This window comes from Homo sapiens, chromosome 16 (assembly GCF_000001405.40).
Source record: "Homo sapiens chromosome 16, GRCh38.p14 Primary Assembly".
Lineage (NCBI taxonomy): Eukaryota > Metazoa > Chordata > Mammalia > Primates > Hominidae > Homo > Homo sapiens.
The window spans coordinates 11978392-12001074 of record NC_000016.10 but is presented as its reverse complement, the minus strand read 5'-3'; the positions used below and the strand labels follow the sequence as shown (position 1 = coordinate 12001074).

At 46.2% G+C, this 22683-nt stretch overlaps 1 protein-coding gene across 19 annotated transcripts in view; it reads right to left on the bottom strand.

Moving 5' to 3' along the window:
- Nucleotides 1–22683, bottom strand: part of SNX29 (sorting nexin 29) — a 597554-nt gene that overhangs the window by 573213 nt on the left and 1658 nt on the right. For 7 of the 19 annotated variants that reach the window (NM_032167.5, XM_017023874.2, XM_047434881.1 and 4 more), the window contains exon 2: nucleotides 1717–1778. In NM_032167.5, coding sequence (NP_115543.3) covers nucleotides 1717–1778 — 62 coding nt within the window. Of the gene's footprint in view, nucleotides 1–1716; nucleotides 1779–17364; nucleotides 17680–22683 lie in introns of those variants that run through there. The other 12 variants (XR_001752024.3, XM_011522738.4, XM_047434879.1 and 9 more) reach the window with 9 other exon arrangements.

The following is a 22683-nucleotide window of genomic DNA, read 5'->3' as shown; positions in this document are numbered from 1 at the left end:
TACCTTTAAAGTAGTTCAACTTGCCTCTTCGCCTTATTATATTTTCCATTTCTGCAGCAGAGAAAGAACCAGCTAATAACATGGGCTCCAGATGTTACCATGTTAACAGAGGACCAGGCTCTGTCCAGGCCCTTTACCTACTTTAACAATCCAATTCCCTCAGCAGCCATACACAGATAAGTGACCCAGTTACAGAAGAGCAGAGAGCTGCTCAGGGAGGGTGCACGAGTTGTCCCTGTACACACAGAGCTAAAGAAGTAATAAAGCTGGCCTTTAATTCCAGCTACGTCTGAGCCAAAAGCCTGTGACCTTCCTACCATACAATGCCTCAAGGCTTGCGTAGATACTGCATTCTCTGGGCTCACTTCAATACTCAACGTACACCCCGGCACATGTGGTGGCATGCACCTGTAGTCCCAGCCACTTAGGAGGCTAAGGTGGGAGGATTGCTTGAGCCCAGGAGTTTGAGGTTACAATGAGCTATGATGGTACCACTGCGCTCTAGCCTAGGCAACAGCAAGACCTTGTCTCTAGAAAATAAAAAAAAAAATTTTAACACACACCCCTATTAAAATACTTACCTCCCTATAGTGTAATTACACACATAATTATAACCGTCAACTGCCCCTTCCAAAAAGCAAGCTCCTAGAATTCCTAGATTTGGATCCTAGCTCTGCCTCTTACTATGACGCCCTGAGCAAGTTGTTGGATCCCTCTGAGCTTCAGTCTCTTCATCCGTAAAATGAAACCAATTGTAGGAACTATAATCTCACAGTGTTGTTAGAAGGATTAAATATAAAGTGCTTAGCAGAGAGCCTGGCACACAGTGGAGGTGTGATCAGTGACAGCTAACAGCAGCATGCATCTGGTACATGCGGCAAGCAGATTCCAGTCTCACATCCAAGCTTACTTCCAAGCCCAGCCGGAGTCAAGCATCACAAACAGCATCACATCAATCACAGCAAAGCTACCTGGAGCGTCCACACAGCTGGGGGCAGCAGCAGAGGACCTCAGGCGTGGCCTCCATCCTCCTTGTCCTAGCCTTCTTGTGCTCGAGGGTCCTAACTCCAAACCACCACCTCTGCACCCCTCAGAGTTGCCCTCAAACACAACTGCTTGGAAATGAGACAATGAGACTTTGAAACCCACATCAATGACTTTTTTTTTTTTTAATGACACAAAGTCTCACTCTGTTGCCCAGGCTGGAGTGCAGTGGCGCAATCTCAGCTCACTGCAACTACCACCTACCAGGTTCAAGCAATTCTCCTGCCTCAGCCTCCCAAGTAGCTGGGATTACAGGTGCCTGCCACCACACCCTGCTAATTTTTGTATTTTTATAGAGACAGGGTTTCACCATGTTGGCCAGGTTAGTCTGGAACTCCTGACCTCAAGTGATCCGGTCACCTTGACCTCCCAAAGTGCTAGGATTACAGGCGTGAGCCACTGCACCTGGCCCAGTGCCTTTCTTGAAGGGACATCACTGACGGATGGGGTCCTCTAGAGGGCTTTGGGAATTCAAGACACAGGACTTCCTCCAACCCAACCTTGACCGTGTTCACTGCTCTATCATTTCCTGGGAAAAATGAGTAGATCACTTCACTGTTCCCAGGTATAAAGTGGGAGTTAGTCTGTGTATGTTATAGGGAAGAAATGACCTACATTAATTATCTGACACTATTACTCGACCAAAAAGGCAAATGTGTGCTTTCTGCTTACCTGTTTCACTGCATCCAGCAGTCGCTCCAGCAGAAATTGTCTTTTGTCATTGTTCTGTGATCCTAAAATGCAATGAGGCTTAATTAGTTCTCTCTGACGCTCGGACACGGCTGTCCCCAACTAGATCAGTCCTTTCCTACTGATCTTTAACAAAATCAGTAGCACAACTAGGTATCAATAATCTGTATCATTACAATGAAGTTTGGCTATTGCCTGTTACTGCATCAAAGGAAAACAGCTAAACTAATTTTCCCCAAATCTGAACATGTCTAGAATGGTCTAAAGGTTTCTCAACCCTTGGCACTACTGACATTGTAAGATGTTTAGCTGCATCCATGGCCTCTACACACTACGTGGCATTAGCACACACAAACCCCTGAGTTATAACAAAAATGTCTCCATGTAATGCCAAATGTCCCCTGGGAATCAAAACTGCCCCCAGTTGTCAACCAGCAGCCTAAAATAAAATATAAGTTTCCCAGTACAGCAGGAACTGCTCACTGGCTGTTCTCACTATCATCTCCAACATCCTTTTCCCATGCCACCTTCAGCAATCCAAGCTGTGAAACCTGATTACTCCTCTTCTCAGCAGCTGAGGTTGAACTTAAGCAGTCTGGCCAATGAGAAGAAAGCAGAAGTGGCTCCCAAAGTTCTGGGAAAGTCATTCATTTCTGATAGAAAGAAGAGCTATGCAGAGCATCACTCCCTCCACCATCCTTCATGCCTTAATCATAAACATGTTGGGTGGAGCCAGAGTAGCATTTTGCCACCACGAAGTCATGAGCCTGAGAGAAAGACCTAGAGAATCACAAAGACACCAGCCCTGATATCACTGAGTTGGTAAGCCAAGACTAGAAACAAGCTAACTCTCACAAAATAAATAACCCTATTTGTCCACACCACTGCACATTGGGCTGTTACTTGCATCCAAAAGCATTCCCAACTGACACACATGACATATGCTGAACTTCCATTTAGGAAGGTCTGGGGCAAGAGCACTTGAAAGCACCAGGCAGACAGTTGGTAGAGCCACACCTGATCTCCACAAGAGGCCCAATGACTCCAAGCAAGATACAAAGCCCGGAGTATGATGCACCAGACACAGAGCACATTCACTTCAAAGGATACTGAAATTCAGTTTCTAAGGGCAGACGCTCCACACTGCAGGCGTTGAATTGCCATCAGGCTGCTTCTGTCTTGGGCAACTCTACGTGGGCTGCACCAGAGAGTAGCAGCAGGGCATTATCTCAGAGGTGGTCAGTGATTCCTCCAGGTCAAGCCAGGGCCAGCTGGTTGATAACAACCACCACCGTGTGCTGGGCGCATCCTACATGCCAGGAACCAAGCTAAGCACTATGCATGCATCATCTCCCTTCATCTTCACATTCACCCTATAAGCCAGGTTCCCAAACACAGATGGGAAAGCTGAAGCTCGGGGAAGTCAAGTGATTGTGTGTGTTGATCCACCCAGGACTTATTTAACTTCTAGTGTATGTGAGGCAATGTTTTAAGAGCTGAGGACACCGGAGTTAAATGGTGTAAAAGATCCATCTTCTCATGGAGCTAAAATCCTACTAGAAGGCCGGGTACAGTGGCTCACACCTGTAATCCCAGCACTTTGGAAGGCTGAGGCAGGAAGATTGCTTGACATCAGGAGTTTGAGACCAGCCTGGGCAACATGATGAAGCCCTGTATCTACCAAAAACACAAAAAATTAGCCGGGCGTGGTGGCACACACCTGTGGTCCCAGCTGTTCATGAGGCAGAAGTGGAAGGATCACTTGAACCCAGGAGGCAATGGCTGCAGTGAGCTGAGATCGTGCCACTGCACTCTGGCCTGAGTGACAGAGTGAGGCCCTATCTCAAAAAAAAAAAAAAAGTATAAATGTAAACTAATCAATGAAAAAGTGTTAGAGAGTCACACTAGGAAGACAAAACAAACACAGTGATGGGATAGGGAGGAAGCAAGAAGGCTGCTTTAGCCAAGGCAGCCACTGAGGGCCTCTCTGCACAGGTGACATTTGAGCTGAGCCCTCTATGAAGAGAAGGAACAGCTATGGAAAGACAGGGCAGGCCAGTGTTCCAGACAGAGCAAACAGCAAGGGGAGAGGCTCGGAGGTAGGACAAGCTTGGCTCTGGTCTTCCAGGACCAGAAGGAAGTTTGCTGTGGCTTGAGCAAAAAGCAAAAAAGTGGAAGGAAAGATCAAACAGGCGGGCAGATGTCAGTCACATAGGATCGTGTGGGCCATGATAAAGGGGTTAGACTGTTGAAATTTGAATACTAATTGGTGGAACAGTGATCCTGACTCAAGACCTCTAAAGCCTGTGTTAGGACCACAATACCAAGGATCCTGCCTTACCCCCAGGCCTGGTAATGAAACCAGTCAGCAGATTCTTTGAGACACACAATAAAACAACTGACTCTTCAAAAAGTACCGTTAGTATTTTTTTCTGGAAGAGGTTTCGATCAAGAATAGCCTAGGCACCATTCCCACCAGCCATGAGGCATCTCAAGGCATCGCTCAGGATGGCTATAGACCCATCTGGCCAAGGTCCTCCAACACCTCTTGACACCTGTGTCTATCAATCAAACGCTCTTTGTTTCAGAATCCAGGGTTTGGATTCTGATCTTCCCTCCCTAACACCAGAATAGAAAAAAAGTTAGGCTTGCTTTCTTCCTTTTTCCAAGTATGAGTGAGCCCGACAGCTCTACCTGCCCTTGAGCAATGCCAACTGGAAACTTGACAGGGTTCCCCGCACTGGAAATGCCTTTGCTATTTTTTTCTCATCATAAAAGCAATTCATGCAGGAAAAAAATAGAATAATAACAAATCAGGAAAAAATGTACAAAGAAAATAAAAATCTCTTTCATCTCCCTAGTGATAATTTTTTAATGCAGTGCTTCTCAAACTTTAATGTCCACACAGATCTCCTGGAGATCTTGTTAAAAAGCAGCAATTTATTTTTTGGCGTTTTTTTCTGAGACAGGATCTCTATCACATGGGCTAGAGTAAGTGGCACAATCATAGCTTTCTACAGTCTCAACCTCCTGGGTTCAATCGACTCTCCTGCCTCAGCCCTCCGAGTAGCTGGGACTACAGGCACAGGGCACCACTCACAGATAATTTATTTATTTTTATTTTTTATACAGACGGGGTCTCACCCCAGACTCAAGCGATCCTCCTGCCTCTGCCTCCCAAACAGCTGGGATAATAGGTGTGAGCCACCACACCCAGCCCAAAAGGGAGGTTCTGGTTCAGGAGGTTGAGGATGGGGCCTAACTCTTTTTTTTTTTTTTCTGAGACGGAGTGTTGCTGTGTCACCCAGGCTGGAGTGCAGTGGCCCAGTCTCGGCTCCCTGCAACCTCCACCTCCCAGGTTCAAGCAATTCTCCTGCCTCAGCCTCCCAAAAAGCTGGGATTACAGGCACGCACCACCACGCCCGGCTAATTTTTGTATTTTCAGTAGAGACAGGGTTTCACCATGTTGGCCAGGCTGGTCTTAAACTCCTGACCTCGTGATCCACCCACCTCGGCCTCCCAAAGTGCTGGGATTACAGGTGTGAGCCACCGTGCCCTGCCAACTCTGTGTTTCTCGTAAGCTTCCAGTGGAGCTGACACTGCCGGCTCCTTTCACACCTGAATAATAAAGGTTTAGCACCTACCCTTCCTGGTATGCACAATGATCCTCGATGTCTTTTTTTTTTTTTTTTTTAAGAGTATTTTGCTCTACTGATTATTCTGGATGAGATGTCAGCAGCCTCCTCTGCCTTACTCTGCAAAGCCTCTTTTCATGATGGGGTGGGGGGGGAAGAAAAGAAAAACCTGTTCTTTATACAAAAACTACCCGAGATTGTGCAGGTCTCAACCCAGAGGCTCACACTTCCTGGCTGTGATCTCTCTGCAGGCAAGAAGCTGTCAAGTGAGATAATCTTGACCTCAGAAGGGGCAGCTGTGGCCAACTTAGCCCTGAATGAGCTTAAGAGAAAGGGGTCAGCCAGGCACAGTGGCTCACACCTATAATCCCAGCAACTTTGGGGGGCCAAAGCGGACGGATCACATGAGGTCAGGAGTTCAAGACCAGCCTGGCCAACATGGCAAAACCCCGTCTCTACTAAAAATACAAAAATTAGCCAGGTGTGGTGACGGGCGCCTGTAGTCCCAGCTACTCAGAAGGCTGAGGCAGGAGAATCGCTTGAACCTGGGAGACGGAGGTTACAGTGAGCCAAGATTGCACCAATGCACTCCAGCCTGGGCAACAGAGTGAGAGTGTCTCAAAAATAAATAAATAAGAGAGAAGGGGGTTTACTAGGCTGCAAGGAGCACAGGTGGTCTCAGGACCACTTATCAACTGAGAGGAACAGTGGAGAGCACTGAACGGGAAGTCACAAGGCCTGAGCTCTCATCCTGCCTGGCCTGCTTGCTAGCCATGTGACAGGGACAGTCACTTCCCTTGTCTGGCCACTGGTTTCTGCATGAGATCATGCCCTTCCAGCTCTACAGTCTATGGAGACTCTGCAGAGACAGGCAGGCAGAGCAATCAATGCTACCAGTCTCCTTCTTACCTTCTCCCTTTGAATCCAGTGGAGAGTACAGCACCTCCGCCAGGGCCCAGAAGAATCTGCCAGCTTCAAATGTTGCCGCCACTCAGAGAGAAGTAGGAACAATGTGCCCACCTACCGAATCCCAACCACAGGCTAAGTCATTAAATGACCTATTTAATCCTTGACAAAGAAGGAAAAGTGGTTCCATTCAGTAGAGAACACTGTGACTCAGAGAGGAAAAGACCTTTACCCAGGGCTAGACTCATGGGAAGTGGCCGAGGAGGGATACATTTCCAAGTCCATGGGATCCTGGAGCTGCCAGCTGCTAAGCCCTGCTCACCCTCGACCTCCATCACAACCTGCAGCAGTGGCCCAGTGCAAATTCAGCAAACACTTTGCCACACAGGAGCGATCAAACCCCATGTTCCTGCTTCCTCATCTCCAGGGGCAGCCCCCAGCCAGCAGTCAACCAGGTGAACAAGAACAGGCTTCTTTTTATTTCTCATTTAGATCACCATCAAAATGAAAACAGAAAATGGAAAGGCACCCAAGGGAATACCTCCAGGGGTCCACAAACCTGTCTGAGAAATGCAGTCAGCTGACACTCCCTAACTCTACTCAGAATCCTCATGTGCACGGGAAAGTCAGTCACCTAGTTGGGTCTCTCTTTAATGTTTTGTTGTTGTTGTTTGTTTGTAGACGGAGTCTTGCTCTTGTCACCCAGGCTGGAGTGCAATGGCGCGATCTCAGCTCACTGCAACCTCTGCCTCCTGGGTTCAAGCGATTATCCTGCCTCAGCCTCCCAAGTAGCTGAGATTACAGGCTCCTGCTACCATGCCCAGCTAATTTTTGTATTTTTAGTAGAGACGGGATTTCACCATGTTGGCCAGGCTGCTCTCAAACTCCTGACCTCAGGTGATCTGCCTGCCTTGGCCTTCCAAAGTGTTGGGATTACAGGCATGAGCCACCGCGCCCGGCCTTTGTCTTCAATGTTTAGAACTCTCAGGATCTAATGTTTAATGTTTAGAGTCCTTTGGATCCTACATTAATTTTTACCACAAATCTCTAGCCTTCTGCCTGGGGTCACCATTCAAGCTACAGTGACCTCCTGGAGAGAAAGAGCAGAAATTAAGAACAGGATAGTGTGGGTTAGAATCCTACTCCACCAGCCATGTGATCATGAGCAAGTTACTTAACCTCCCTCCTTCAGGCTCATCATAGAACCTACCTCTTCGGACGATAAAATGAGGGAAATTGTATTGTGCACCTAGAACAGTGCCTGGTATATACCAAGCATTTAATAAAATTAGCTATCATTATCATCATTGTTGGCAACCCTTACCCCAAGGTATCAAGACCTCTGGCTCCCAGAAGTCCTTTCAACTAGCTACCTTCTCTCCAAAGCCCAGGCAAAGCAATTCAATCCAAGCCTCTGTGTTTGCTGCCCTGGGAGATGAAAGGGTGAAAGAGGACCCCTGGCACGTGGGGAGGAGAAAACAAGCAGGAGGCAACCAGGCACTCCGGCTATATTCCTTCTTTAACCCTCGCAACCCTGGAGCTCCAGGTAAACTGGTTCCCATTCCACAGAGGTCAAGCCCCTTAATCAAGGCCACACAGATATTTATTTATTTATTTATTTATTTATTTATTTATGAGACAGAGTCTCACTTTGTTGCCCAAGCTGGAGTACGGTGGCGCCATCTCTTCTCACTAAGGCCTCCACCTCCCATGTTCAAGCAATTCTCCTACCTCAGCCTCCTGAGTAGCTGGGATTACGGGTGCCCACCACCACGCTTGGCTAATTTTTTTTGTATTTTTAGTAGAGATGGGGTTTCGCCATGTTGGTCAGGCTGGTCTCGAACTCCTGACCTCAGGTGATCCACCCACCTCAGCCTCCTGAAGTGCTGGGATTGCAGGCGTGAGCCCCCACGCCCAGCCCTGCAGATATTTAAATAGTGGTATTTCGCTGTCTCTCCATGCAGCGGTGGAGGTGACGTCATGCTAGACATTTCCCTGGTGAGATCCTTGTAACACATTAAGCAGGTACAAGCGAGAAAAGAAAAAGAAGGCAATGCTCTTTGAGTGCCCACTGTGTGCGAGGAATTCTGCCCAAGGGCACACAGTCAAGCAGGTGCTGCATTGGAGGCTGAGCCCTGCTCTCCCTAACTCTCAGGCAAGTGTTCCTTCCACACACCACACTGTCATCCTGGTGGGGACCAGGGCAAGCTCACTGAACAATTGGGAACCTGAGCCGTGCTTGCAAAACTGGGAAGGACAGAACAGGTAAATTCATAGAGACAGAAGGCAGACAGGTGGTTGCCAGGGGCTGGGGTGGTAGGGGGATGGGGAGCTACTGCTTAATGGATATGGAGTTTCCTTTGGGTGATGAAAATGTTTTGAAACTAGATAGAGGGCTGATTGCTCAACAATGCAACTGTACTAAATGCCCCTGAACTGCTTGCTTTAGAACAACAGTTAATTCTTTGTTTTGTGAATTTCACCTCAATTAAAAAAAAAAATTTAAGAGATGGAGTCTGGCTCTGTCAACCAGGCTGAAGTACAGTGGCATGATCATAGCTCACTGCAGCCTCCAACTCCAGGGCTCAAGCAGTCCTCCCACCTCAGCCTCCCAAGTAGCTGGGACTACAGGCATGCACCACCACACTGGGCTAATTTTGTACGTTTTGTAAAGACAGGGTCTCGCTATGTTGCCTGGGCTGGTCTCAAACTCCTGGCCTCAAATGATCCTCCTGCCTCAGTCCCTCAATGTGCTGAGGTTACAGGTGTGAGCTACCACTCTTGGCCCAATATTTTTATGAGAAGGACTGCAACAGGTAGATGTTGGCTGAGAAAATGTTCCTATTCTAAGGAACAACTACAGTAGGATTCTCCCAAGGGCTAGACAAGGCAACTGCATGGAGAACCCAGTCCCCATATTGAATCACACAATAGAAAAGCTACTCCCAGCTGGGTGAGGTGGCTCATGCCTGTAATCCCAGCACTTTGGGAGGCCAAAGTGGGTGGATCACTTGAGGTCAGGAGTTTGAGACCAGCCTGGCCAACGTGTGAAACCCCATCTCTACTGGAAAAAAAAAAAAAAAAAAAAGATTAGCCTCAGGTGGTGGCATGCACCTGTAATCTCAGCTAATTGGGAGGCTGAGGCAGGAGAATCACTTGAACCTGGGAGGCGGAGGTTGCAGTGAGCCGAGATCACACCGCTGCACTCCAGCCTGGGCGACAGAGTGAGACTCCATCTCAAAATAAAATAAAATGAAATAAAAAATAAATAAATAAATTTACATATATTTATATTTTTATAAAATAAAATGAATAAATGTAATAGAAACCATGCCTTGCTTCCACGGGCCCCTCCTGCACCCCTGTCTCCCCCTGCCTGGCATGGCTCTTCCTTCATGAGACGGCAAGTCTCACGGCAAAGGCCCTCTGTGACAGCCACCCCTGCCTCAGTTGCTGTTCCTAGCTCTGGCCCTTTTGCTCTCATTTCCTTTACCCTGCACTGAATTATCTATGCAGTGGCTAGAGCATCGGGAAGGGCAGATGAATACACAATAAATGACTTACTAGTATTACAGGATACACACAATGATGTTATGTGATTCATCCAATGTGCCCTGCAAAACTGCAATGAACACAGCATTTCTCTAAGCCCTGCGTGTGCATCTGTGGCGGGCTGCCTCACATGATTTGTTTCTGATTTTCACTGAACCTACACCTTTAGCATACCCTAGAATGGGGGTCAGCAAACTTTCTCTGGAAAGAGTCCCGCAGTCAATATTTTAGGCTTTGTGGGCCAAAGGGTTGCTGTCACTACCCAACTCTGCCACTGCAGTGTGAACAACAGCCATAGATAATATGTAACGAACAGGTCTTGGGCTGGATTTAACAGCCCACTGCCCTGGCAGAAATAATGAAGGCTGGCAGGTTAAAAATTAAAACAATAGTGTCGGAGTTTGTAGACCTTACAGCCACCGTGCGGTTAGATGGTTAAACGTGAGAGTTCCCCAGCAGGCTGTAGACCAGGCCCGCATCATAATCATGCTCCCATCTTCCCTTGCCCTCTAACCAAGGCCCCACATACAGAGTCTTGCAGGGAACAAGGACATCATCAACCTGTTGTCACTGCAGAATTCATTCTCAGTTACACTGGCGGGCATCTGGGATGCCCGGCGCTACCAGCCCAATGATGACTTTAGTGTTGCTGCTATTGTTTAACTCCCATCCCACCCCCCAAAATCCACAACCATTCCAAATAAAGAAACTGAAAGAAAGCAGAAGCAAAGGAGGAGGGGGGCAGAAAGGGCTGCCCAATATATGCCCGGGGCACATACAAGACCAGGAGGGACCCCCGCAGTGCCCAAGGGGTCAGGTGAGGCATGGAAATGAGCGGGTTGGGCTGGCAAGGCACAGATTGCAAGAACAGAGCAGGTGCCCCTCTCAAGATGGCAGCTGCTAGCCAGCTCTAGCAGACAGTACCTCACAGCAATACCAGCAATTGCCCCATCTCCTGGTTTTTCAAGAGAGGCTGAAAACCCAGCTTTTTTATGTCAGTTAGTTGGCACCTAATTATACTCTTGTGAGAACAATGTTCCAGCCAACTCGACATGAAACAAACACAACACACCTGGGGCCAGGCCCGCCACCAATCCGCCATACTGAGACATACGTTTAACCCTCACATCTACCTGGAAGGTGGGGGCTGGCCGCCCTGGTGAAACAAACAAAGGAACTGAGACTTGGAGACATTGATCATTTACCCAAGGAACAGCTCAGAGGTGACAGACCTGACATTTTACCCCAAACCTTGTACACTTCAACCTCCACAAAACCAGGCTCACTCCTTGAATGGCTCAATCTTAGCACAGAAAAAGGGCTACATCATCAAAGTGCTGCCAAAGAAAAAACAGCCTCCCGATGGCTGACTCAAACGTTCCCTTCTCAGAGAAGCCTTCCTGCAGAGGGTCCCCCAAGGGACACACTGCTGTCCCTCTACACAGTGCTCCCATGGCCCTGCAGTCCTGCCATAGCGCTGATGTAATCCCCATCGTGGGAGGGATTATGCATTGTGAGCTCTCGGACATAGACAGAAGCCTCACGAACTCTCTCCCATCACAGAAGGAACTCAACAGTTGTTGAATCTAGATTCTGGTGCAGCTCACTTCTGTGGCTCCCCAAGTTGCTACTTTAAATAAAAAGGACCAGAACTGGCCAGGGCACAACGGCTGCCTCATTCCTGTCATGGGCAGAGTGCGGTGGTGGTTTTATCTGCTCTAGACTTAGCATACGCACAGATAAAATGGACAATCGTTCTCCCCCAAAGTCAGGGCGCTGTCTCCCAGTATTGTAGGGTGAAGTGGCACAGCTGGCCCAGGACAAAAGGACAGACTGTCTGCCAGCACACAATGGAAAGAGACAGGCTCTGCATGCAGACAGATGGGCTCGGGCCATCCATGTGGGCTTATGGTGTCTAAGATCAAAGACAAAATAAATGAGCAAAGAATGGGGACCATCAATTTACTCTAGAGCAGGCCGGGCATCATGGCTCACGTCTGTAATCCCAGCACTTTGGGAGGCCAAGGCAGGCAGATCACTTGAGGTCAGGAGTTCAAGACCAGCCTGAACAACATGGTGAAACCCCGTTTCTACCGAAAATACAAAAATTAGCCAGGCATGATGGCACCCACCCGTAATCCCAGCTACTGAGAGGCTGAGGCAGGAAAATCGCTTGAACCCAAAGGGGTTAAGGTTGCAATAAGCTGAGATTACACCACTACACTCCAGCCTGGGCGACAGAGTGTGACTCCATCTCAAAAAAAAAAATTACTCTAGAGCAGGGATTGGCAAGTATTTCCTGTAAAGAGCAAAACAGTAAATATTTTAGGCTTTGCAGGCCATACACTCTCTGTCACAGTTACTCAATTCTGCCATTGCAGCCTGAAAGCAACCATAGATAACAGTAATTGAATAGAAATGGCTTTGTTCCAATAAAACTTTATTTGCAAAACAGGAGGCCAACCCAGTTCACCAGTTCTTGCTGTAGAAAACAAAATAAAAAAAAAACACTAGCATGGCAATGTACAAAAACTTTAAAGAGACAATAGGCCAAGCATGGTGGCTCACACCCGTAGTCTTGGCATTTTGGGAGGTAGAGACAAGGGAATTGCTTGAGCCTAGGAGTTTGAGACCAGCCTGGGCAATACAGTGACACCCCGTCCCTACAAAAAGTTTTTTAAAAATTAGCCGTGTGTGGTGGCACACACCTGTAGTCCAAGCTATGAGGGAGGCTGAGGTGTGAGGATCACTTGAGCCTATAGGTCAAGGCTGCAGTGAGCACTGATGACACCATTGCACTCCAACCTGAGTGACACAGCAAAATCCTATCTCAAAAAAGAAAGAATATCTTCCCTCCTGGTTGGAGAAATGCAAATTATATGCCTATTAATAACTACCACATGGCACCATTATGTAACTACAAATTAACCAATAAACTTTTTTTTTTTTTTTTTGAGATGGAGTCGCACTCTGTCGCCCAGGCTGGAGTGCAGTGGCATGATCTTGGCTCACTGCAATCTCTGCCTCCCGGGTTCAAGTGATTCTCCTGCCTCAGCCTCCTGAGTAGCTGGGATTACAGGCACCCGCCACCACACCCAGCTAATTTTTGTATTTTTAGTAGAGGTGTGGTTTCACCATGTTGTTCAGGCTGGTCTCAAACTCCTGACCTCAGGTGATCCACCTGCCTCAGCCTCCCAAAGTGCTGGGATTACAGGCATGAGCCACCGTACCCAGCCTCCAAGAAACATTTAAAGTGAAATTCCCCAATGCTGGTAAAGCTATGATAAATCAAGTACACACCACTGGTAACAATCTATGGGTGCAGTAAGTTCTGAAAAGCGATGTGGCAATGCATATCAAAAGCTACAAAAATAAATCAAAATCCCTTTTCACACCTTGGAAATTAAGCTAAAAAGGAACAGGGGAAATGAGAAAAGATACAAATAACAATTTCACCTGGTCCTCTATGTTCCAGGTCCTGAGAAACGCACTATACATTCATTACTTGCTTTAATTTCCATTTTCTGAAAAGGGAATTAAGAGTAAGAGTCAGAATCAGGCATGCTGGCTCACGCCTGTAATCCCAGCACTTTGGGAAGCCAAGACAGACAGATCACAAGGCCAGGAGTTTAAGACCAGCCTGGCCAACATGGTGAAACCCCGTCTTTACTAATAATACAAAAATTAGCTGGGCGTGGTGGCACGCACCTGTAGTCCCAGCTACTCGGGAGTCTAAGGCAGGAGAATTACTCGAACCCAGGAGGTGGAGGTTGCAGTGATCACACCGCTGCACTCCAGCCTGGGTGACAGAGTGAGACTCTGTCTCAAAAAAAAAAAAAAAAAAGAGTAAAAGTCAGAGAAGTTCAAAAATCTGCCCAGGCCGGGTGCAGTGGCTCACGCTTGTAACTCCAGCACTTTGGGACACCAAGGTGGGAGGGCTGCTTGGGCTCAGGACTTCAAGACCACCCTAGGCAACATAGTAAGGCCTCGTCTCTATGAAAATTTAAAAAAAAAAATTAGCCAGGTATGGTGGCACACACCTGTAGTCCCAGCCTCCTGGGGAGCTGAGGAGGAAGGATCACTTGAGCCCAGGAGGTTGAGGCTGCAGTGAGCTATGACTGCACCACTGCACTCCAGCCTGGGTGACAGAGTGAGACCTTGTCTCAAAAAAATAAGACAGAAAACAAAAAACTGCCCAACTTCTTCAATAGGGAGTTAAATCCAGAACTTGTCTGTATCCGAAGCTTTTCCGTAATAACACAATGACTTCCTGAGCATCAATGGGCACGAAGATTTGTATTGCAGTGTCCTAGTGTAGGGGTCAGTCAACTATAGCCCCCGAGCCAAATCCAGCTGCTGACTTTTTCTAAATAAAGTTTTATTGGAACACAGCCACGTCCTTTCACTTACCCATGGTCTGTGGCTGCCTTCAAACTACGACAGCAGAAATGAATACTTGAGGCTGAGACCAGATGGCCCACAAAGTAGAAAATATTTACTATCTGGCCCTTCACAGGAAACGCCTACCAATCCTATCCTAGAACACCATAAATGGAATTGACTGTCTTTTGCAATGGGAGAGAGGTTAAATAGCTGCGGTACATCAATTTGGTGGAATGCTATGCTGCCTTTTCAAAGAATCGTGAAGAGAAGGAACGTGGATAAGTGCTATCATGTAAGCAGAAACGCTCAAACGGAGATACAATGCAATTATGCAAAATGCATATATAGTGTATGCTTTGAACAAAGGCAGAAGAGGAATACCTACAAATTTAAATATTAAATGTGCCAGGAATGTATATTTAAAGGTATATTCTGTTTTCACAATAGTTTTTAATGTCATTTTGGGTTTTCGCTTTTTTTTTTTTTTTTTAAGTTGTAGGAGGAAAGAGCAGATTCCAAGAAACACAGATGCAAGCGAAGAAAAATGAGATGGAGTGGGCAAGTTTCCCTCCTCGGAGGAAGCGGGGTACTGCCTGGGTGAGCAGAGGAAACACTAGTGCCAGGTCTCTGAAGGGCTCCCGGACAGCAAAAAGTCAGGGCAAGGAAAAGAGTCCTCACTCCCCTTGCAGGATTCAAACTGCTCAGCCCCCACCTAACCTGCTCCCCTACTGGCTCTCCCACCTCAGGAAAAGGCAATTCTGGTCAGGTACAGTGTCTCACACCTGTCATCCCAGCACGCTGGGAGCCCGAGGTCAGTGAATCACCTGAGGTCAGGAGTTCGAGACCAGTCTAGCCAACATGGTGAAACCCCATCTCTACGAAAAATACAATAATGAGCCAGGCATGGTGGCGCTCGAGGCGGGAGAATCACTTGAACATGGGAGACAGAGGTTGCAGTGAGCCAAGATCACGCCACTACAGTCCAGCCTGGGTGACAGAGCAAGACTCTATCTCAAAAAAAAAAAAAAAAAGATAAGGCAATTCCAACCCCTTTCAGCTGCTCAGGAAGAAAACCTAGGAGCCACCTGCCTCAGGAAGCCTCTGCTGCCACATCACATTCCTAACCACCCCATCCAAAATTACAGCAGCCCTTCCCCTGAAGTTCATCCTCCATCCAGACAATTTAGTAGGATGGACTCCCAGCCACAGGCTCCAGACTAGACTTATGGTCCAGACCTGGCCAACCAAAATCACAGTGATGGGTTGCAGGATGACCACATGGCCAGCCCGCTCCATGGAGGAGCGGCTGCCTGTGGGTGAAGCCAACAGAGAGAAAAGACGAGTTGACAGCCAGACAGAAAGATAATCCTGATAGTCCTTTAACACGTGGATCCAGCTAAGCTTGAAGCCAGCCCTATGTCTAGACTTTTCCATTACAAGACACCATATATTCCCATGCTGTTGAAATCAGTTTCATCAGCTTCTGCCACATTCCACTGAAAAGAGCCCTGGCTAACACACTCAGCACGGTCCCAACAACATCCTTTTGCTTCAACAGACCCCAGTGGTAACAACCTTTTGATAAGTGATAGAGGATGCACCAAACTATCATCCAATGTTTGCTGAATGTTGAACCCCAAATTTCTGGCCAACCTCTGCTTCCACCAGAGCCCTTATTCTTACTAGCAGCATTGAAACTAGTGCAACCACTTTGGAAAAAATCAAATCAATTCAACTGAGTTTAATTATAGGCCAAAAAAAAAAGGAATCAAAAGTGATAAACTCTTCGATGTTAATGCTACTTTTGGAAAATCTCCCTACAGACATAATCTAAGGGATGGAAAACTACCTTGAAAAAAAAATGTTCACTGCATCATTACTTATAACAGAAACAAAAAAGAAAGAAGGAAAGCCAGGTACAGTGGTTCACACCTGTAATCCTGGCACTTTGGGAGGCTGAAGCAGGAGGATCACTTGAGGTCTGGAGTTCAAGACCAGCTCGGGCAATATACTGAGACCCTGTCTCTACACCAAATGAAAAAGTTAGACGGGTGTGGTGGCGCACCTTTAGTCCTAGCTACTCAGGAGGCTGAGGTGGGAGGGTCATTTGAGCCCAGGAGATCAAGGCTGCAGTGAGCTATAATTGTATCACCACTGCATTCCAGCCTGGGCAACAGAGCAAAACCCTGTCTCAAAAGAAAAAGAGAGGAAAGGGAGGAAGGGAGAGAGAGAGGGAGAGAGGGAGGAGAGGGAGAGAGGAAGATAGGCTAAGTTTCTACAACTAGAATCAATAGTTAAAAGTTGTACTACATGCAAAATGATGAATGATGGACTGTACATTCCATAAAAGTGATCAATAGTGAGCCCATGGAGCAATGTGGTAAAGTTTTGTCCTGAAATGTTAATGGTGAAAGCAAGATGCAAAGTTGTATGATAATAATACAATTACTGCAGCCTATATCAGTCTCAATCTTTTCTTTTTTTTTTTTTGAGACAGGGTCTGAGGGGTCTGGCTCTGTCACCCAGGCTGGAGTGCAATGGTACTTTCATGGCTCACTGTAGCCTCAACCTCCCAGGCTCAAGTGATCCTCCCACGTCAGCCCAGCCTCTCGAGTGGCTAGGACCATGGGCATGCACCACTACATCCAGCTAATTTGTGTGTGTGTGTACAAAGACCGGCAGACGGGTCCCACTATGTTGCCCAGGCTGGTCTCAAACTCCTGGGCTCAAGCGATCCTCCCACCTTAGCCTCCTAAAGTGCTGGAATTACAGGTGTGAGCCACTGTGTCCAGCTCAATCTTTTTCATTCTTTCCCCCTAAGGACACTTTTTAGACACTTTTTTGCTAATCATCCCCTCCATGAAAAAGTAATACCACAGATACAATGTACATCTGTTTATGTACTATATGCCTATCTGTGCTTTATACATCCAAGTAAGTTTTTTTTCTCTCCTGAGAACCAGTGTTCACCCCCTTGGGGGTGATATCACCCCCACTGCAAATATACGGCCTATGTATAGACAAGACAGTGGCAGATGGAAGGTGCTTTATCTGGAAATATGCTCACATTGCCACAATTTGGAGAAATCTATAAAATCTTGGATTTTAGTTCCAAATTTTAAGAGCTCTAAGCATTTGAGTTCCTATCAGTTACCTGGAGTCAAGCAACCAGGAGGCAAGATAGCCAACATCAGTAGGACCTAGTCCATCGCCAGTTGCTAGCAGAGGTGGGGGTCAACTGTTTGCTGATGGTAGAACATGTACTTCTTGCATTCCACCATCATAGATCAATCCAGTGCCTTCACAAGGGGGAAAAAATGTTGATAGCATCACTTTTCTACTTTGAATGAAAACCACAAATATTCTTTTTTCATTCATTCATTCATTTCAGCTGATTATTTATTCTAAGTACAAGCTACTGTCAGAGAGGGCCCAGTCAGTGCCGAGGAGAAAACTGTGACCTTCAACATTCCAGAAAACTAAGAAAAAGCAGCTGGGCACAGTGGCTCACAACTATAATCTCAGCACTTTGGAAGGTTGAGACAGGATGGCTTAAGGCCAGGAGTACCAGATAAACCTGGGTAACGTAGTAAGACCCAATCTCTACAAAAAAAAAAAAAAAAAAAAAATTGTAACCCAGGCGCAGTGGCTCACACCTGTAATCCTAGCACTTTGGGAGGCCAAGGCAGGTGGATCACCTGAGCTCAGAATTTTGAGATCAGCCTGCACAACATGGCAAAACCCATCTCTGCTAAAAATACAAAAAATTAGCCAGGCGTGGTGGTGCACGCCCGTAATCCCAGCTACTCAGGAGGCTGAGGCAAGAGAATCACTGGAGCCCAGGAGGCAGAGGTTGCAGTGAGCCAAGATAGTGGCACTGCACTCCAGCCTGGACAACACAGTGAGAATCTGTCTCAAAAAAATATTCGTTAATTAAAAAAAATTTTTTTTAATAAAAAGCTGCCAAAATATACATTAACGTCAGGCAAGAAACAGCAGTAAATTACCCATTAAGCCCAAAACTCTGATATATGATGAATCTTAGAGCTCATCTGTTACACAAATTGTTTGATCACTATGGGCCTGGCTTTCCTCACCCTTGAAACAGGAATCTCAGTGTCTCCTTTACTGATGGAGACCGGGCACGGTGGCTCACGCCTGTGATCCCAGCACTTTGGGAGGCCGAGGCAGGTGGTTCACGAGGTCAGGAGATCGAGACCGTCCTGGCTAACATGGTGAAACCCCATCTCTACTAAAAATACAAAAAATTAGCTGGGCGTGGTTGCAAGCGCCTGTAGTCCCAGCTACTCGGGAGGCTGAGGCAGGAGAATGGCCTGAACCCAGGAGGCAGAGCTGGCAGTGAGCCGAGATCGCATCACTGCACTCCAGCCTGGGTGACAGAGCAAGACTCCATCTCAAAACAAAAAAAAAAAAAAAAAAACTGATGGAAAGGAGCATCCAGGAACTTAAGGATGAAGACTTACAAAAGACAAAACTTGAGTATAATGACTTTCTGGCTCTACGAGTTCTACTTTCCCAGTAACAACAAACACATATCTGAAAATCAGCATTCCTTACATAGTCTGAAGAGGTGGGCAATCAAGTATTCCTATCTACTGGGTTCTTTAAAGAAAAATAAACAAATTGTGACCACCACCCTACAATAACCACCCACACATGTCTGGCAGGCATCTTTCTTCCTGATAATCTTTTTAGGTCTACATACATATATGAATCCATAAATATTGTCTTCAGTATGTTTTAATTTGCATCAAGGTATATATTTTAGGTATAATTCTACACCCTGCTTTTTTTTTTTTTTAATTGAGATGAGATCTCGTTATGTTGCCCAGGCTGGTCTCAAACTCCTGGACTCAAGCAATCCTCCCAACTGGGCCTCCCAAAGGGCTCAGATTACAGGCGTGAGCAATCACGCCAGACCCACCCTGCTTTTCTTACAGAACATTAACGTTGAGATGCAGCCACGGTGATGTGTATGAATCCGTATCAATCCTTTTAACATTTCTGAGGCTTTCCGTCAGGTGTCCACAGCACACTAGGTTTACCTACTCCCCAATTAATGGTCATCTTAGTTGTTTCTGGCCTCATGATACCCATTTATCTTGTATATATATATTACCTAGCGCCATTCCACTGCCTGGTTATTTGTACTTAATGTATTCAGCTTTGCACCCATCTCTCCTCTGACTCTACTCAAATATTTTCAACTCAAAAATACAGCAGACTCTAATTACCAATTTATAGCACATACAAGAGACTGAAAAACACTTTATGCCACACCAAAAGGATGCAATCAGCAGAGGCCTGCAAAGGATCCTTGGGATAAATAACTCTGTTTCCTTCAACAACAAATGCAAGGGGGAAAAGGAGAGAGATTAAAGGGCAGCCTGTAGTTTAAAAAAAGACTGCTTCAAAAAACACCACCAAGAAAGTGAAAAGAGCCCAGGCATGGTGGCTCAGGCTTGTAATCCCAGCACTTTGGGAGGCTGAGGCAGGCAGATCAATTGAGGTCAGGAGCTGGAGACCAGCTGGCCAGCATGGTAAAACCCCATCAACACTAATAATACAAAAATTGGCCAGGTGCGGTGGCTCATGCCTGTAATCCCAGCACTTTGGGAGGCTGAGGTAGGCGGACCACTTGAGGCCAGGAGTTCGAGACCAGCCCAGTCAACATGGCAAAACCCCATCTCTACTGAAACAACAAAAAAGTTAGCTGGGTGTGGGGGTGTGCACCTGTAGTCCCAGCTACTCCAGAGGCTGAGGCAGGAGAATCACTTGAACCTGGGAGGCAGAGGTTGCAGTGAGACGAGATTTCTCACTGCACTCCAGCACTCCAGCCTGGGTGATAGAGCAAGACTCCAACTCAAAAAAAAAAAAAGAAAATGAAAATGAAAAGACAAACCATGGAAGGGGAGAAAATTTTTGTAAACAATAAACCTGATAAGGGACTAGTATCTAAAAATTACAGAGGATTCTTATAGATCAGCAATAAAAAGACCACCGAATGTTAAAATGGCCAAAGGATCTGAAGAGGCATTTCTCCAAGGAGGATACACAATTGGTCAATAAGCACAAGATAAGATGCTCAACATCACTAGTCACTAGGGAAATGCAAATCAAAACTACGAAGAAATACCACTTCACACTCACTAGAATGTCTATGATTAAAAAGACTCTTGGGGAAGGTGTGGAGAAACAGAACCCTCATATGCTGCTGGTGAGAACTGAAAATGGTGCAGCCACTTTAGAAAACAGTCTGACACAGCTCCTCAAATGGTTAAACAGTTACCATATGACCCTGCAATTCCACTCTTACAAACATGCCCAAGAGAAATGAAGAGACTTGCCCCCACAAAAACATGTGCGTGAACGTTCATAGCAGCATTATTATTCAGAACAGCTAAAAAGTAGAAACAACTCAAATGCCCATTTTTGATGCATGAATAAACAAAATATGATATCCACATAAAGGAATATAATGTGGCCACAAAAAGGAATGAAGTACAGATATATGCTGTAATGTGGTTTAACCTCAGGAAAATTATACCGAGTGAAAAAAGCCAGATAAGAGAGGTCACATACTGTATGATTTCATTTATATGAAATACCCACAACAGGCACATCCAGAGACAGAAAGTAGATGAGTGGTTCCCAGGGTCTGAGGGGAGGGGGAAAGATGAATGACTGCTAATGGGTACAAAGTTTCTTTCTAAGGTAATTAAAATGTTGTGAAATTAACTATGGTGATGTTTACACGGCTCTGAAAATACCAAAAAATAAAAATAAAATAAACAGGAGGTGAGGGAGAGACCTAAAAGATTTAAAACACAAACCAATGTGCACTGTTTAAACCTTACTTAGATTCTGAGTTTTTAAAATACACTATAAAATAAAATGTTATGGCCGGAGCACAGTGGCTCATGCCTGTAATCCCAGCACTTTGTGGGGCTGAGGCAGGTGGATCATATGAAGCCAGGAGTTCACAAGTGGATCACATGAAGCCAGGAGTTCACAAGTGGATCACATGAAGCCAGGAGTTCGAGACCAGCCTGGCCAACACAGCGAAACTCCATCTCTACTAAAAATACAAAACTCAGCCGGGCATGGTGGTACATGTCTATAGTCCCAGCTACTTGGGAGCCTGAGGCAGAAGAATTGCTTGAACCCAGGAGGCGAAGGTTGCAGTAAGCTAAGATCCTGCCACTGCACTCCAGCCTGGGTGACAGAGCGTGACTCCATCTCTAAAACATAAATAAAATAAATAAATAAACAAAATATTATAAGTGGGGAACAGAAGAAAGAGGAAATATTTCCATGCCACTTTATTTTATCGTGTACCAGTTACCCACCCCACAAGTGGGGAAACCCACTTTCAACTGCATTCTCAAGAAACAAAATATATCGTTGGACTTCCCCTTCCATTTTCACAGACCACTTTTTCTGCCTCAATTACAATGTTTCCAAAAGAAGGTTTTCATCCTTAATGCTTTTTCCTAAAAAGTCATTTGTTGGTTTCCTTTTCTCTTTGGCTTTAGATGTAACGATTTTTTTTTTTTTTTTTTTTTTTTGGAGACTGAGTCTCACTCTGTTGCCCAGGCTGGAGTGCAGTGGCATGATCACCGCTCACTGCAATGTCCACCTCCTGGGTTCAAGAGATTCTCATCCCTCAGCCTCCCGAGTAGCTGCGATTACAGGCGCCTGCCACTATGCCCTGTTAGTTTTTGTATTTTTAGTAGAGATGGGATTTCACCATGTTGGCCAGGCTGGTCTCAAACTCCTGATCTCAAGTGACAGCCTGCATCTGCCTCCCAAAGTGCTGAGATTACAGGTGTGAGCCATCACACCCAGCAGACGTAATGATTTTTTAATTAAATTTTAAAGTTTTCTTTCTTTTGTTTTTTTGTTTGTTTGTTTGTTTTGAGACGAAGTCTTGTTCTGTCGCCCAGGCTGGAGTGCAGTGGCTTGATCTTGGCTCACTGCAACCTCTGGCACCGGGGTTTAAGCGATTCTCCTGCCTCAGCCTCCCAAGTAGCTGGGATTACAGGCGCGTGCCACCAGAGTTTTCATATTATTTCTCCTTGAAAGATAAACTGATCAATTTCTATTGGCTTATCAATTTCATTGTCTCTTGTGCTAAAGGTAAAACGAAAAGGGTCCAGAACTGTGAGCTTGTGGCAAAGACTCCTTGGTCATAGTAAAAGGAAAAGATTTTCAGACAGTGCCTAGTCCCAGCCCTCCTCTCATAACTAGGCAAAAACAACCCCACTCCTACCCCACATGAGCTCTTGCAGAAACAACAGCAGGCAGCTCTGAGATTCTGACAATGCACCTCGTGATATTCACAGTACCAGTCACTTTAACTGATGAATGTTATTTAGTCATTACAAGCCTAGGAGATAGGTACTACTAGGTATCCTCATTTTGCTGGGACTCCCAGAATGGTCGAGAACTT